The sequence below is a fragment of the Homo sapiens genome, chromosome 5 (genome assembly GCF_000001405.40).
Source record: "Homo sapiens chromosome 5, GRCh38.p14 Primary Assembly".
Taxonomy (NCBI): domain Eukaryota; kingdom Metazoa; phylum Chordata; class Mammalia; order Primates; family Hominidae; genus Homo; species Homo sapiens.
In genome coordinates, this window is record NC_000005.10 from 108,857,098 (window position 1) to 108,873,353 (window position 16,256).

General features: G+C 34.0%; 1 protein-coding gene across 21 annotated transcripts in view, besides 1 other annotated feature; it reads left to right on the forward strand.

Moving 5' to 3' along the window:
* Window positions 1-16,256, forward strand: part of FER (FER tyrosine kinase) — a 448,945-nt gene that overhangs the window by 109,201 nt on the left and 323,488 nt on the right. For 20 of the 21 annotated variants that reach the window (NR_146155.2, XR_007058589.1, XR_007058591.1 and 17 more), the window contains 3 exons: window positions 10,670-10,853; window positions 14,268-14,405; window positions 14,996-15,115. Coding sequence is in view for 17 of the 21 variants with exons in the window: in NM_005246.4 (NP_005237.2) it covers window positions 10,670-10,853; window positions 14,268-14,405; window positions 14,996-15,115 (442 nt within the window). In the remaining 4 variants the exon portion in view is untranslated. Of the gene's footprint in view, window positions 1-2,889; window positions 9,273-10,669; window positions 10,854-14,267; window positions 14,406-14,995; window positions 15,116-16,256 lie in introns of those variants that run through there. The other variant, XM_047416941.1, reaches the window with a different exon arrangement.
* Window positions 9,878-10,078: a silencer, noted in NCBI's record as "peak5407 fragment used in MPRA reporter construct". NCBI's record gives its function as "represses an SCP1 promoter by STARR-seq MPRAs in K562 erythroleukemia cells {active_cell/tissue: K562}" and the evidence as "EXISTENCE:reporter gene assay evidence [ECO:0000049][PMID:32103011]".

Below are 16,256 nucleotides of genomic sequence, written 5' to 3' on the forward strand. Positions count from 1 at the left end.
ACATTTTACCACATTTGCTTTATGCTTTTCTGTCTCTGTATGTGGTGCATACATATATATGCATGTGTGTGTATGTGTAAATATAAAAACGTAAATGTATATTTATTCAGTTGTCATATCTTTTTAGTTGCCTTTACACTGGAACAGTTAATAGTCTTTATGGTTCACAAAACATTGACATTTTTGAGCAGTATAGAACAGTTATTTTATGGAGTATTCCTTGATTTGTTTTTCTGCATAATATTTATTTATTTTTCATAGGAATACCATAGAAATGATGTTCTGTTGTTGGTGCTTTATATCAGGTCCATGATGTCAGTTCATCCCATTATTGGATATTAATTTGATCATTGGAGTAAGGTGGTATACGCTTGATTTCTCCACACTTAAGTTACATTTTCATTTTTCTTTTTGTTAATAAGTATTGTAGGGAAAACGTTGACGCTATGTAAATACGGTGTTACTCTTCAGATTTTCACCCACTAGTTTTTATGTCTATCAATGGTTCCTGCCTAAATCATTTATTATTATGGCAATTGTGAAATGGTAATTTTCTAATTCAATTATTCCTTTTACATTTATTAATTTGTTTTTAATATAAGGAAGGGCTTTCCCCTCCTGTTTATTTTTTAAATTTATGTATTAATTTAATGTATTAGAATGAACTCACAGATTCTGATTTTTATTCATGGATTATAATTTTATACTATCATAATGATATACTATCATGCTCGGATTTGGCCAGTGGGAGCCACTTCAAACTGGCTCCTCTGTCCTTTTGACACATTCCTATCATTCATTGAATACGTATTTTCTGGCTCATCTTATACTTTTCCTACTTCAGGTTCCATTTCTCTATGAAACCCTAGTTCCTTTTAGTGGAGAATTATATTTGGAAAACAGTATCTGGCCATTGGTGTGCTCATTGCTAGTGGAGTATCTTATTCTAGGTCCTGTTAATTGACAGACACAGGAAATAAGCAACACGTACACATTCATGTACACCTGTGCTTTCTTCTGTTATCTATTGGTCTGTCTAGGGATACACTGAGGGGTTCACATTGATACTTCAAATTCTAGTCCAATACCATACAGTTTATTCCTCCTCTTCCTATTTATATATTTGCAACTGCTTTCTCTGGCAGTGAGAAACCTAGCTTCTGTTGTTCACAATATTTTACTTACTTGCTCAAATGCTAGAATACACAGAAAGTAATTTCAGTATTGCTAACTCATGCCTCTGAAAAATGAAACTTAAAGACTACAGTTTGGTATTTGTTTAAAGCTTTTTTTGTCTTTAGCTTTCTATTGTAATCAAATACTGTTTTCCAAAGTTACTTAGTTTTTTACAAAGTTACTTCCCTACTCCTTTTAGTGTGGTTAGTGTTATTCACTGGAAATACAGTTTGGTTCATTTGTTTCTGTTGTATCTCATTTTATTTTCCCCCCTCCCTCTTATCCTTGTTAATTTTGTTTATTTATTTCTATGTGAAACTTTAGTGATTCCAAAAGTTAATACTGTTCAAAACCATATAGGGAACTCAATCATTTTTATTTTCCTTTCTTTCTTACACAAAACTACGATTATATAATATTCTTTTTCCTTTGCTTCTCCATTGATAATGCATCTTGAAAATGACAACATTTGAGTTGGTAGACAGTTTTTTCATTTTTTTTTTTTTTTTTTTCTGTCCTCACAGTCTCTTGCTCGTTTTTTCATTCGTTTCAACAGCTGCATGCCACTTTATTTTAAGATTATTTAAGCCCTTTCCTACATATGGACATATAGCTTATTTCTGATTTTTCTAATTATATGTACTCCTACTATAAATAACCTTATGTATGTGTTTTGTATGTGTGTGTGTTTGTGTGTGTGATTGGAGATATGAATTCCCAAAAGTGTGATATAAATTCCAAGAAGTGTGATGGCTGGGTTAAAAGGTATACTTACATGTGATTTTGTTAGATATTGCCAAATTTCCTTCTATAAGGATTATACCAATTTGCATTTCTACTAGAAATGTATGAATGTTTTTTCTCCACATCCTCGCCAACAGAGTGTTTCTCAATTTGGTAGATGAGACATAGTATCTCACTTCCTCTTTTCTTTAACTCTTACATTGCTGTCACTGCTGTGATCTACCACTACAGTTTTTCAGTATTTTCACAAGTAGAGCAGACCTTCTTTTTCTGATGGTTGTTTTTAGATCAGTCTTAAGCATTCTGCTGTTTCTTCTCTTCACCCCGACCCCTGCCTCACCCCCCAACACCCACCTCCAACCAACCCACCCAACAGCATTTGGTCTTCGTAAAGGCTTGCTTTGGGAGGGGGAGAGATCATTTGTAGAGATTTGGTGTTTACTTTTCTACTCATAGCCAATTTAAAATTTGGACTTTCTGTGCCTGTTATGCTGAGGGTATGAGTTATGTTTTTCATTTTGTTCTTTATTATATTTTTGGGTAATATGTGGGAGATTCAGAATTATGCTGCTGCCATATCCCAGCTACCCAGAACTCCCTCATTCACAGTATTAGGAAATTATGGAATGTAGATTTGGACATGGTACATCATTCACTTTACAGGTTGTTAGAAGACTGTGGATCAATTGAATGTAGCAATCACTATATGCAAGGAAATTATATTACACAGAGTTTGAGAACTTGCTCTTTAAAGGTGTTTTATATTGAATTTTTAAATAAAGTATCACTATTTCAGTTCTCTGAACAGTTCAAAACCCATAAAATGTTTAGTAAATGTTTCTTGATAAATCAAATTTTCTTATGCCAGGAAATTTATTAAAAGTAGCAAGATATGTATATACCTATTATTATTATTATTATTATTATTATTATTATTATTTTGAGATGGAGTCTCTCTCTGTCGCCCAGGCTGGAGTGCAGTTGTGCGATCTCGGCTCACTGCAACCTCCACCTCCCGGGTTCCAGTGATTGTCCTGCCTCAGCCTCCCAAGTAGCTGGGACTACAGGTGTGCACCACCACGCCCAGCTAATTTTTGTATTTTTTAAGAGAGACAGGGTTTCACCATATTGGCCAGGCTGGTCTCAAACTCCTGACCTCATGATCCTTCCACCTCAGTCCCCCAAAGTGCTGGGATTACAGATGTGAGCCACTGTGCCTGGCCATACCTATTTTTGTTTTTAATGCTTTATAGGAGCATATAAACACAAACATTTTCTTTTTGTCTTTCCAAATTCTGTGCTTTATTTAGCCTTTGCTATTAACTGCATTTTGTCAGTTTTCTGCCATTTAATCTACATTACAACCCAGTGAATTAGAAAGGGCAGATAATTTAATTCCTATGTTTAAAAATCAGAAACTAAAATTTAGATTAAATGTTTTGCTTGGGGCTGCACATCTAATCAAAGGAAAAGCTGAGACTAGTACTGACTTTTTAACATTGTTCTTGTCAGAACCACACTGAGTAAAAAAGGTAGCTCCTTCATTGTTTCTACATATCACACTTGAATTTAACTTCCATGTGAAAAAAACATGTGTATACATTTGACCCAAGTAACTATAAGTTAAGATGAATTCCTGTTCATTTTCTTCATACTCAGTGTGCCTAGGATAGCGAGTGTAGAGTAATAAGTAAAATTGTGAAATTGAGCAGCGTATTAGTCTGTTTTCACACTGCTATAAAGACATATAATTACTGGGTAATTTATAAAGAAAAGAGGTTTAATTGGCTCACAGTTCCACATTGCTGGGGAGGCCTCAGGAAACTTACAATCATGGTGGAAGAGGAAGAGGCATGACTTCATGGTGGCAGGTGAGAGAGACTGAGCAAGAGTAGGGAAAACTGCCTTGTAAAACCACCAGATCTTCTGAGAACTCACTATCACAAGAACAGCATGGGGGTAAAAATACCCCTTCATGATTTAACCACCTTCCACCTGGTCCTTCCCTTGATACATGGGAATTATAGGGATTATAATTCCAGATGAGATTTGGGTGGGGACATAGAGCCAAACCATATTAACAAGGAATGTTCTGAAAGAAAGGAAAATTGTAAGGTGGTGGAATGTTTAGTTATCCAAATCAAAGCAGAGTCTACTTGTAGGCACTTTATTTTTAGAAAATAATCACTTCTTATTTATTATCAGCAGGTTTCTACCATAATTCGCAAATGGCAAACACTTCAGAAGTTTATAATAAAAAAAGTGACTTTTTAGACTAGCTTAATGAGTAGTCTAGCCTTTCTCTTGTAAATGTCAAACTTACATAATTGAGTTTTGCTAGCTTCATAATATTGTTGATGGCATGATATGTTGTTTATGCATTCTGTTATTACAAAACATTAAATAGATTTGTCAACAAGTTGTGGCAAACAAATTATAATTTAATCTCTTTGTGAATTTTATTATGTGGAGGAGGAAAAATTGGATGTTTTCCTCCTTGTTGATTGACATGTAGAACACTCATGCCCTGCTCCAATGCCTGTCATCATTTAAAGAAAAAAGAAAAAAAGCACACAAAACAAAGATAGGATACTGTGTCTGTTGAATGAAAAATAAGAATTTTTTCATTCTATGTACTTCACGTTAATTTTAAGAGCATATGCATTTATTTAAAAGTTAAGAAAGTATATTAGTGATCTAAGATATTTCGAAGTAAATAGAATTGTATTAGGTTATTTTTTGCAATAATTTTGTTAAGTAAAAGGAATTTTAAAATTTTTATTTGTAACATTGGTTTTTATATGGTATTAACATTTCTGAAATTGACTTATGTATCCTGTATAGCACCCTAAACATTTATTTTAAAACAAATCAGTAAAAAGTAACATAGAATCCCTTTCCAAATCATGGTAAGTGAGCATGTTTTTAAAACTCTTTGTTTTTACCTGCAAGGGAAGGAGATAACAGATTGATTGATAATGTGCATGCATAAGTATGCCTTATAACCAAATGTAGAAGTGTATGTGAGCTGTGGAGTACTCCTCCCCAAAATCTGTCAAAACATAACCTGAAATCTGGTTTTAAACCTGAAAGTGGTTTTGAGAATTTATTATTATTATTTTAATACAATAGATTCTGCATTGGATATTTCCAAAGGCAGTAAATATTTTTGTAATTGTTATTAATGACCATTGGTAAGCTGTTGGTGATTAAATTTTGGCTCTAATGACTTCAGGCTGTTTGTCATATACTATATTTAATAAAGAAAAAGGTATCTGGGAAATTCTTAACTTCTCTAATGTTATCTTGGAGCATAAAATCTTACTGAGTTGAGTGTTGTATGTTTAGTGAATCATTTTACACCAGCTAGAAAGACAGATGGGTAGTGTGCAGTTTAAATATCTGTGCAAATGAGAGGACAGATGGGTGGTTTAAATGGTTTAAATGTCTCAATGAAAATGTGTAGAGAGATTGTCTTCTGAAGTTAGACTAAAAAATTCAGGGAATTAATTAGGAATAATAGTTAATATAACAAAATAAAATTTTTAAATAAGAGGCAAAATATGGAATTCAGTGAATTGATTATACCTTTTGAACTGACAGTAAAAAGTAACATCTTAGAACACAGTACTCAAATACACTTGCATGGTAACTGCCTGTTTTGTTTTCTTATTATGAACATGTGGACTGTGGAAAGTGTCTTTATTACTTGGAATTAACTTATCTGGTTAATTGTACCTGACCTTTTGAACTGTTGTCAGAATTAATTTGTTCAATTTCAAGTAGTTAACAGAAACTTAAACTAGCTTAAAAATGGTGAGTAAAAAAAAAAACCAGACTAAAAACCAAAAACCTTGAAATGGGCCTCAGAAAAGGCAGCTTCTGTAGCAGGAGTTAGTGAACTTTTACTCTTATTCAGGAATTAATATGACTTAGCTTCTAGCCAAAATATTGGTTCCTATATTGTCAGGTATGTACCTTAGATCTTGGATGTCAGCTCCATGTAGGAGCCTCCTCCTAACTTGTGTGGGTGGGGACAAAAAGGGGTGATCACTTTTAGATGGAAGGCTGTGGGCTGGCCATAGATATGTCAGTTGCACTGACCTTTTTTTTTGTTTGTTTGACAGAGTCTAGCTCTGTTGCCCAGGCTGGAGTGAAGAGGCTTGATCTTGGTTCACTGCAACCTCCGCCTCCTGGGTTAAAGTGATTCTCCTGCCTCAGCCTCCCGATTGGCTGGGACCACAGGCATGCACCACCACACCTGGCTACTTGTTTTGTATTTTAGTAGAGATGGGGTTTCACTGTGTTGGCCAGGCTGGCCTCGAACTCCTGACCTCAAGTAATCCGCCCGCCTCGGCCTCTGAAAGTGTTGGGATTACACGTGAGCTGCTGCACCCAGGCAATTGCATTGACTTTTGGGGACTTTTAATGAAATATATTCTGTAAGAAGAATGCTAAGTAGTAATATTCATGGATAAAAATGCTATTGTATTATTCTATGAAAAATTATTAGTAACTGATCATGTGGGAGGATATGTTCCTTAGAACATTAAAAATCATTCATGGTTAGTATTACTGAAGTTATTTTATTAATTGCTAAGTTAAAAAATTGTGCCAAGTGTCATGCAGAGTGAGATAAATCTTCTCTAGGGATTTATTTTAACTGAGGCAAAAAATTTACTGATTTCTGATAAACATTAAAAAAATTCAAATAGATTAGAATTTTTGAAAAAATCACTGGGCATACCTCATAGTAAGGAGAATAATCATTTTATATTACATTTATATAAACACATATTTGATTATTTACTGGTTCATGACATAAAATATATTATCTTGTGGGTGGTAGTCAAAAAGTTTGAAAAGTATTACTTTAGTGATTCAAGTTTTTTTCTTTCTTTCTGATTTTCTTCAGGTGAGAACTAAATTAATGTACTTGCTTCCCTCCTGCCACTCTAGTTTTAGAACATGTTTCTCTTCAGCAGTGACAGGGGTTAGAGATACTCAGGTGAAAAGATTATTTTCTTATTAAGAAGTTCTTTATGTTATAAAGTGAAATAGATTATCTGGGTAACATTTTGTTAAAAACTTGGACAGTTATTAATATCCTCATGTGCAAGAGCCAGTGAATGGACAATGGGTACAGAATTAAACTCTTTAAAAAAATTATGTGTTGCTCCATAGAAGTCAGTGGTGATTCTAGTATTTGTGAACTCTAGAATTTATTGATAGTAGAGACATACAAGTCTGCCAGAAGGTTTGTTTCTGTTTATACGATGTGGATGTAGTTCCTGAGCATCAGAATTGGAGGGATGATGAGAAAGCAAGGGAATTCTATTTCTCATTCTGTTGTTCTTCCTAGGAATGGTCTGAGGTCTGAAATTGTCCCTCTTTGCAAAAACCCTCACCTTTTCTCTGCTCTTTGCTCTGGGGTACTGAGATTCTTAAATGAGGAATACTCAGATGGTTGCTGAGCCTAAGCAGAATGGCAACAGAAGGGAGCCTGCCGTCAAAAATTCTCAACTTAAGATCTGTTTCTGTTTCAGCTTTCTACATATGGCTAGCCAGTTTTCCCAGCACCATTTATTAAATAGGGAATCCTTTCCCCAGTGCTTGTTTTTGTCAGGGTTGTCAAAGATCAGATGGTTGTAGATATGCGGCATTATTTCTAAGGGCTCTGTTCTGTTCCATTGGTCTATATCTCTGTTTTGGTACCAGTACCATGCTGTTTTGGTTACAGTAGCCTTGTAGTATAGTTTGAAGTCAGGTAGCATGATGCCTCCAGCTTTGTTCTTTTGGCTTAGGGTTGACTTGGCAATGTGGGCTCTTTTTTGGTTCCATATGAACTTTAAAGTAGTTTTTTCCAATTCTTTGAAGAAAGTCATTGGTAGCTTGATGGGGATGGCATTGAATCTATAAATTACCTTGGGCAGTATGGCCATTTTCACGATATTGATTCTTCCTACCCATGAGCATGGAATGTTCTTCCATTTGTTTGTATCCTCTTTTATTTCATTGAGCAGTGGTTTGTTGTTCTCCTTGAAGAGGTCCTTCACGTCCCTTGTAAGTTGGATTCCTAAGTATTTTATTCTCTTTGAAGCAATTGTGAATGGGAGTTCACTCATGATTTGGCTCTCTGTCTGTTATTGGTGTATAAGAATGCTTGTGATTTTTGCACATTGATTTTGTATCCTGAGACTTTGCTGAAGTTGCCTATCAGCTTAAGGAGATTTTGGGCTGAGATGATGGGGTTTTCTAAATAAACAATCATGTCATCTGCAAACAGGGACAATTTGACTTCCTCTTTTCCTAATTGAATACCCTCTATTTCCTTCTCCTGCCTGATTGCCCTGGCCAGAACTTCCAACACTATGTTGAATAGGAATAGTGAGTTACACCTTATACAAAAATTAATTCAGGATGGAGTAAAGACTTAAATGTTAGACCTAAAACCATAAAAACCCCAGAAGAAAACCTTGGCAATACCATTCAGGACATAGGCATGGGTAAGGACTTCATGTCTAAAACACCAAAAGCAATGGCAACAAAAGCCAAAATTGACAAACAGGATCTAATTAAACTAAAGAGCTTCTGCACAGCAAAAGAAACCTACCATCAGATTGAACAGGCAGCCTACAGAATGGGAGAAAATTTTTGCAATCTACTCATCTGACAAAGGGCTAATATCCAGAATCTACAATGAACTCAAACAAGTTTACAAGAAAAAAACAAACAACCCCATCAAAAAGTGGGCGAAGGATATGAACAGACACTTCTCAAAAGAAGACATTTATGCAGCCAAAAGACACATGAAAAAATGCTCACCATCACTGGCCATCAGAGAAATGCAAATCAAAACCACAATGAGATACCATCTCACACCAGTTAGAATGGCAATCATTAAGAAGTCAGGAAACAACAGGTGCTGGAGAGGATGTGGAGAAATAGGAACACTTTTACACTGTTGGTGGGACTGTAAACAAGTTCAACCATTGTGGAAGTCAGTGTGGTGATTCTTCAGGGATCTGGAACTAGAAGTACCATTTGACCCAGCCATCCCATTACTGAGTATATACCAAAAATATTATAAATCATGCTGCTATAAAGACACATGCACATGTATGTTTATTGCGGTACTATTCACAATAGCAAAGACTTGGAACCAACCCAATGTCCAACAGTGATAGACTGGATTAAGAAAATATGGCACATATACACCATGGAATACTATGCAGCCATAAAAAAGGATGAGTTCATGTCCTTTGTAGGGACATGGATGAAGCTGGAAACCATCATTCTCAGCAGACTGTCACAAGGACAAAAAACTAAACACCGCGTGTTCTCACCCATAGGTGGGTATTGAACAGTGAGAACACATGGACACAGGAAGGGGAACATTACACACCAAGGACTGTTGTGGGATGGGGGGAAGGGGGAGTGATAGCCTTAGGAGATATACCTAATGTTAAATGACAAGTTAATGGGTGCCACACACCAACGTGGCACATGTATACATATGTAACAAACCTGCATGTTGTGCACATGTACCCTAAAACTTAAAGTATTAAAAAAAAAAAGAATCAGCTAGAAACTGATGCCTTGACACCAATGAATCTCAATGCAATGAAATACAAGTTACAAAAGAATGCAAATAAAATTTATTTACATTAAAAAAAAAGATCTGTTTCTGGGGAGAGGATTTATTTGGAGGACTTCTTTGGAAAGGGCAGAAAGTAGTAAATATCTTGAACAGTTTATTTTCTGAGTCTACAATGACAAGAAATATTTGTGTAATTTGCATCAAAAGTTTAAGATCTGCTTAAAATTTTCATTTCTTTATATCTTCATTTGCTTATATTGGCAATCTGTAAATGTTTTCTAAATGACTAGTAAAGGAACCATAAAATGTTTTTAACTCATAACATTATCAGTATCTCTCAGACTTCTTCCACATGAAGTCTAAATTTCTCTGCTTGATTTTCAAGTCATTCAGCACCTAGAACTGCACTACCTAAGGAGACCTATTTCTTCAACTTTCTCAAAACTTGCTGTCTGTAGACAAGCTTATCTCTATGTAACTTTGTTCTTTCCATGTATTCACTCAATATTGCAGTTCACAAGGCTCTATTTCAAGGACTGTTTTGCCAAATACTGAATTCCCAATGTTTAGCACAGTTCCTAGTAGCGTTCAGCTAATAATATTCATTGAATGAAAGGAAGGAAGGAATGAAGGGAAAAAAGGAAGGTGAGAGGAAGGAACTATCTGTTCTTATCTTTTTTATGCTTCCCCAGATATGTCCCATATTTTAAGGTTTGTCTTCTCCACAAAGCCTCCTCTGACTACCCTTGTCTTTGTTGATATCTCAAACATAGACCTCAAAATTTAACATTATTTACAAACTTTCTTGGTTTCTTGGTTTTACAGTTTTATGTGCACTGCTGTTTCAATTTGGTATAAGCTTCTTGAAGATGAAAAGGATCATATATCTGTACTTTTTTGTGTTTTACTTTGACCTTTATTCACCATTTAGTATCCTACATGCCTCCTTGGCAACCTTTGTGTTAAGGATTTGCAAATCTAACAGTACCTTGCATAAAGCTAAGCACATATTATGTGTTCAATAAAATTTTTTTGTTTAAAAAATGCGTGAAATAACATAAAACAGTAGTAATTCAGTTTGTATGTAGTGAAGATACAATTTTTTTTCTTATCTCTTTACTAACTTTCTTCAGTTTTTTTTTTTTTCAGGGAAGGAAACTGAAAAGGCCAAGGAACGATACGACAAAGCCACAATGAAACTTCATATGTTGCACAATCAGTATGTATTGGCGTTGAAAGGGGCACAGCTCCATCAGAATCAGTATTATGATATCACACTTCCCCTGCTTCTGGACTCCTTACAAAAGATGCAAGAAGAAATGATAAAAGCACTGTAAGATACATTTTCTTTTTATCATAAAATCCCTTCACAAAATGATTTCAACATATTTTCTCTCTAGTTTAGGTGTTGCTTCATAAGTTTTATTATTAACCCAGTCCAGGGGGTATTTCAGACCTTGATTCTTCTTGATTTTCACTTTTCATGTCCCTTCAGTTTGTGCTTATCCCCTAAACCTTCTAGCTAGCTTCCAAAATGGTCCTTCTTTTGTATGTTTTTGTTTTGTTTCCTTAGCTGGAAATTTAAATGAAAAAATTATAAGTTGAAAAGTGTTAGGAAGTGAATATCTGCCTCCAGAGAGTTGGGTATTTAAATCTTGAACAACTGAAGAGGCTCAAGGAAGAGATTTTTTGAAAGTTTATTTGTCAGCTTCTTGTTTTTTTTTCTGTATAAGATTAAAATCAACAAATGTTTATTGAAGTTTTACGTATGCAAAGCACATTATCTGATGCTTAGGGATATAGAGATGAGCAGGGCACAATTCTTGCCTTCTTGATCTAACAGTATACTTTAATTAGTGAGTCAAATGGACACATGTTTATCACACACACTGATACAAAATGACAGAAAAAATAAGTCATCCTTTGGTAGACCCTATTTCCTTGCTTAGTTGTTTTAGTGCCTTCCAAATGACTAAATTCAATTTTCTTTCACTGAAAATTGTGTCGGGGAATTCTTCAATGTTAGAGTTGCTGTGAACTATGAGTAGGGTTGAAGAATGGTGTAGTAATGGAAGAGCATTAGAAAAGAAGTAAATGGTTATCTCTCAGGTGGAGTTAAAATTCAAAAAAAGTAGTGAAGTATGAGAAAAGGAACTTGGACCAGTTTAATGCAGGTTCTTGCATTGTACTTAATTTATCTGTAATTACATAAATTAGCACATAAGCTCTTAGGTTTAGCATATTTTGAAATGTAGTGGTAAATTGATATGAAAAATTATTATGAGCATTTTTCAGGTTATGGTGCAAGAGGAAGCCTGAATATTACATCAATTAACCCATTTAAGCCAGAGGTTGCAAATTTTTTTGTGTGAACATTTTTTTTTGTGCATAAAATCAGACCTTAGCGATAACCTTGAGCAGTAGGATATGAATAACTCCCATAAGTTTAGTGTTCCAATAATGGAACACTAGTCATAAATGGGTTAATAAATGCCAAAGTAACTGTTAAAGGTAAAATGATAATTTCTAAAACAAAACATTTCATTTATAGACTACATTGCAGTTTGCAAAGCACTTTCATGTGCATTTGCTTACTTGTTCCTTACAGTATCCTGTAGAGTTAGGAAGTACAGGTTATATCCAGGGTATATCTATGACAGACAAGTGAGAATGGACCCAGATTCACAAAGCTAAGAGGTGGCACATCTGGAACTTGAAGCTTGAGTCTTCTGACTAACCCTGCACTCTCCGTGAGAGGAATGTAGTGATTTGAAGAATGTACCCTCAAAATTCTTGTGTACCCAGAATCTCAGAATGTGAACTTATTTGGAAATAGGGTCTTTGCAGATGTAATTAGTCAAGGATCTCAAGTTGAAATCATTCTGGATTTAGAGTAGGCCCTAAATCCAATGGCTGGAGTCTTTATAAGAAGACGGGAGGAAGGACAGAGAGAGACACAGAGAAGGCCTTGTGAAGACAGAGGCAGAGATTGACATCGTTTTCTTTGAAGGGCTCCCCCGTGCCATGACAGATTTAGTATAACTAGCTATCATTGTGTTATATTATTCTGTTTTACATACAAATATTTCAGATTAGGGATAATATTTCTTGGGCTATTGACTTCCACAGCCTCTGAAATTAGAAGCGCAAATTTGTCTTTGCTGCCTTCCAGACTCTGCTTGACTGACTTTTACTTCTCTTTATGTGAAAATAAAGATAATTTGATAGTATATACTTGTGTGTAGGTAAGACTAAATTTTAGGTGATCCTCCATATTCACATAAGAAGATAAAGTGTTTTTAGTTAATTTGAATATGTAAACTTTTTAGTGTTGATAAAATAGTGAAATGTCTAGTTAAATATTTGATTCATAGATTTACTTATCTCTAAAGTACTATTGATTTAGAAATATTTCCTTTCCTACTTTCATTTATTAATAGACATATTTAAACTGTTCACATGATTTTCAATAATAGTATCTTCATCATCACTGGAATATTTTTTTGAGACATATAATGGTTTCTCATGGTATGTTATCTGTACTTTGTGTAATACATTATTTTAGATTTAGAATTTTAAAAATCCAAGCATGATTATATCACCACAGATGAATCTCATGGAACAAATACCCATTCATATAATATTAGGAGATGTTTTTCATTTTTCCTCCCCATTTGTATTAAAGGTAAATGTTAATGATCTCCACATTACACCTATTTACTGTATTGCTTTAAAAGAGTTATTTAGATAGGCTCATTTACATTAGCAACATTCAGTACTTTTACTTATGAGATTATAATCCCAGAGATACTGACTAAATCTGTATTAAATTTTTCTGCCTCCCCTTTTCTTTAAATTGTGTCTGCCAGTTGATTTCTCTAATTATTTGAAACTAGCATTGCCTGAAACAATTTAAATCTCAGTTTTTTTACCCAAATGATATTTTCCTATTTAAAATAAAGTAATTGAGAGAATACTTCACAATAAGGGAGCTTTTGTACATATTAGTTTTTTATAAGTAATGATGGTGGAAAAGAAAAACCATGCTTTGTATTTATTTCAGCATATGCAGGATAACCTTGTCTGTCTACACTTGCTGTTGACAGTGACCTATGGCATATTTTTACAGTATAGCATTTTTAAGTAGGAAGCTGGTCTCTGCGACAGAATAGTTTTTTCCCTTTTGCATTTATTAGACCAGGCTAATAATTTTGATGACATTTTTGCTACTGATTGGAGGTCAAGAGAAGAAATTTAGATGTCATTCAAGGTATAGAACCAGTTCAACTAAGTATACAAAAAAGAGCAGAGGCCCAGAGGAGCAGGGAAGAACCAGTCAGGTAGAGCATGTGAGGAAGTAACAGACACTGGAAAGGAACATTAAAGAGTCAGGAGTTGATCAGAGTTCCATGTTATTCAACCCAAAATTTATACGAGAATATTTAGACATAGAAAGTTATCAACTCTGGCCCTGCATTTTGGACATATCAAATACATTTTTGAAAAGGTAATGCCATATTCTATATCATTTGTAATTATTGTATTATAACAAATATAAATTGCTAATCTGTACATTTATATAATCCCTCTTCTTTACTCTCCAGGTATGAAATAAGGTGGTACAGGAAACAACCATCTGTACATTTCAACATTACATTTCTTATGCTTATTGTTCTGAATCCTTTTTGAGATAGTATCTCTCTTGATAAAACTTTAAAATGCTGCAAAATTTTATTTTTGTTTTCAGCAAAGGTATATTTGATGAATACAGCCAGATAACCAGTCTTGTCACAGAGGAAATAGTGAATGTCCATAAAGAGATTCAAATGTCGGTTGAACAGATAGATCCTAGTACAGAATACAATAATTTCATAGATGTTCACAGGTATGACATGTTTATTCCTCTTTAAGGATTTATGACAGTATTATTTTTCATTCATACAATAGTTAACCACAGATAAAAATAAGAAATACTTAAGATCTTATTAAGACATAGAATATTTCATATTAATTTATCTGCTTTTAATTTTAAAAGTTCTTTGTCAATGATGATAACTATATAATGTATAGTTTTTGATATGTAAAAATTTGTTAGTTGTTAATCCATATTTAATCCATGCTTAAATCCATATTTAATCCATGAAATTTTTTTTTTATGCTTATATAATAAAACCATGACTTTATATGTATATTACACTTTATGATGCGCCAAATACTTTTCCATGGCATCTTATTTTATACTTAATACAATTGTGACAGGAATAAAGCAGGTTAATGCCTGAATTCTACAGATAAGGAATCTAAGTCTCAAGTTACACAATTTTGAAACCCAGGATTTAGTTTGATTTATACTATTTGTGTTTTCTTTGTTAACATAATTTTGGATAAAAACAAATATTCTGCCTTTAGTGTATATGAAGATATATTATGATACTGTATTTACAATGATCAAAATTATTTGCCATGCTTTACTAGAACAACGGCTGCTAAAGAACAAGAAATAGAGTTTGATACTTCCTTACTGGAAGAAAATGAAAATCTTCAGGCAAATGAGATCATGTGGAATAACTTAACAGCAGAAAGTTTGCAAGTAATGTAAGTATTCACAAAATATCAACAGTTTAAATACTAGTATTATTATTGCTTTATTGTTGTACTCAGATTTAAAATATCAATTATTTTTACAAGTATTGAACAGTAAATTTTTGGGGTCAGAGTGACATGTTTTGAGAAATATGTTAATTTTACTCATTTTCGTCACTACTTTTGGTAATTCCGAATATCAAAGTTCTGTGTGATGTTACATTCATTTGCCCAATTGTTGCTAGTATTTGACATTGGAATAATGCTTTATGCTTTTCAAAATTTATATATATATTAAAATCTCATTTCATCCTCACAATTTATTGGAAGAACCATTTTGGAAATTAGGTTGTTTACTGTTAGAGATAAGAGACTTATTGATGTCAGAGCACTTAGTACAAAAAATTGACTTTTAATTGAATTATTTTCTCTTGAAGCAGGGATGTCTTCTGTTATAGGCTGTTAAATCAGTTCCTTCTTCACTTTGTTGTTTTTGTTGTGTAAAATATTAAAGGAATTTTGAGAAATCACAATGTGTTTTTAGTTCTTTTCAAACATTAAAAGCAATTAGTAGTATATTTTTGAATTTAGAAAACATAAGGTGCTCTACTTCTAAATATTTAACCTATCTCTTGATTTTGTGTGGGAGCAACACAAGGAAATATATTTATTAACAAACATTGCATGTATTTTTTCTTTATGCCAGAACCACAGCTATAAATGATTATGCACTCATTGCTCCTCAATGTTAGACATGTTATATCATATCACCTGTTGGAAATTTACCTCAAATGACTCAGCCAAATGTCCCCACCTAATATAATTAAACAATCTTCTTTCTATTGTTCAGTAACATGGTGGTGGTACGGGTAATTAGCTAAGGTAGGAAATGCAGACTGGCTCTTGGAAAGAGGTTTGGAATCTTTTTTTTTGTTTTTTTAATTTTATTTCATTTTAATTTTGAGATGAGGTCTCACTTTGTGGCCCAGGCTGGAGTGCAGTGGTGCGATCTCGGCTCACTGCAACCTCTGCCTCGCAGTTCAAATGATTCTCATGCCTCAGCCTCCTGAGTAGCTGGATTACAGGCATGTGCCACCATGCCTGGCTAATTTTTGTGTTTTTTTTGTAGAGATGGGGTTTTGCCCTGCTGGCC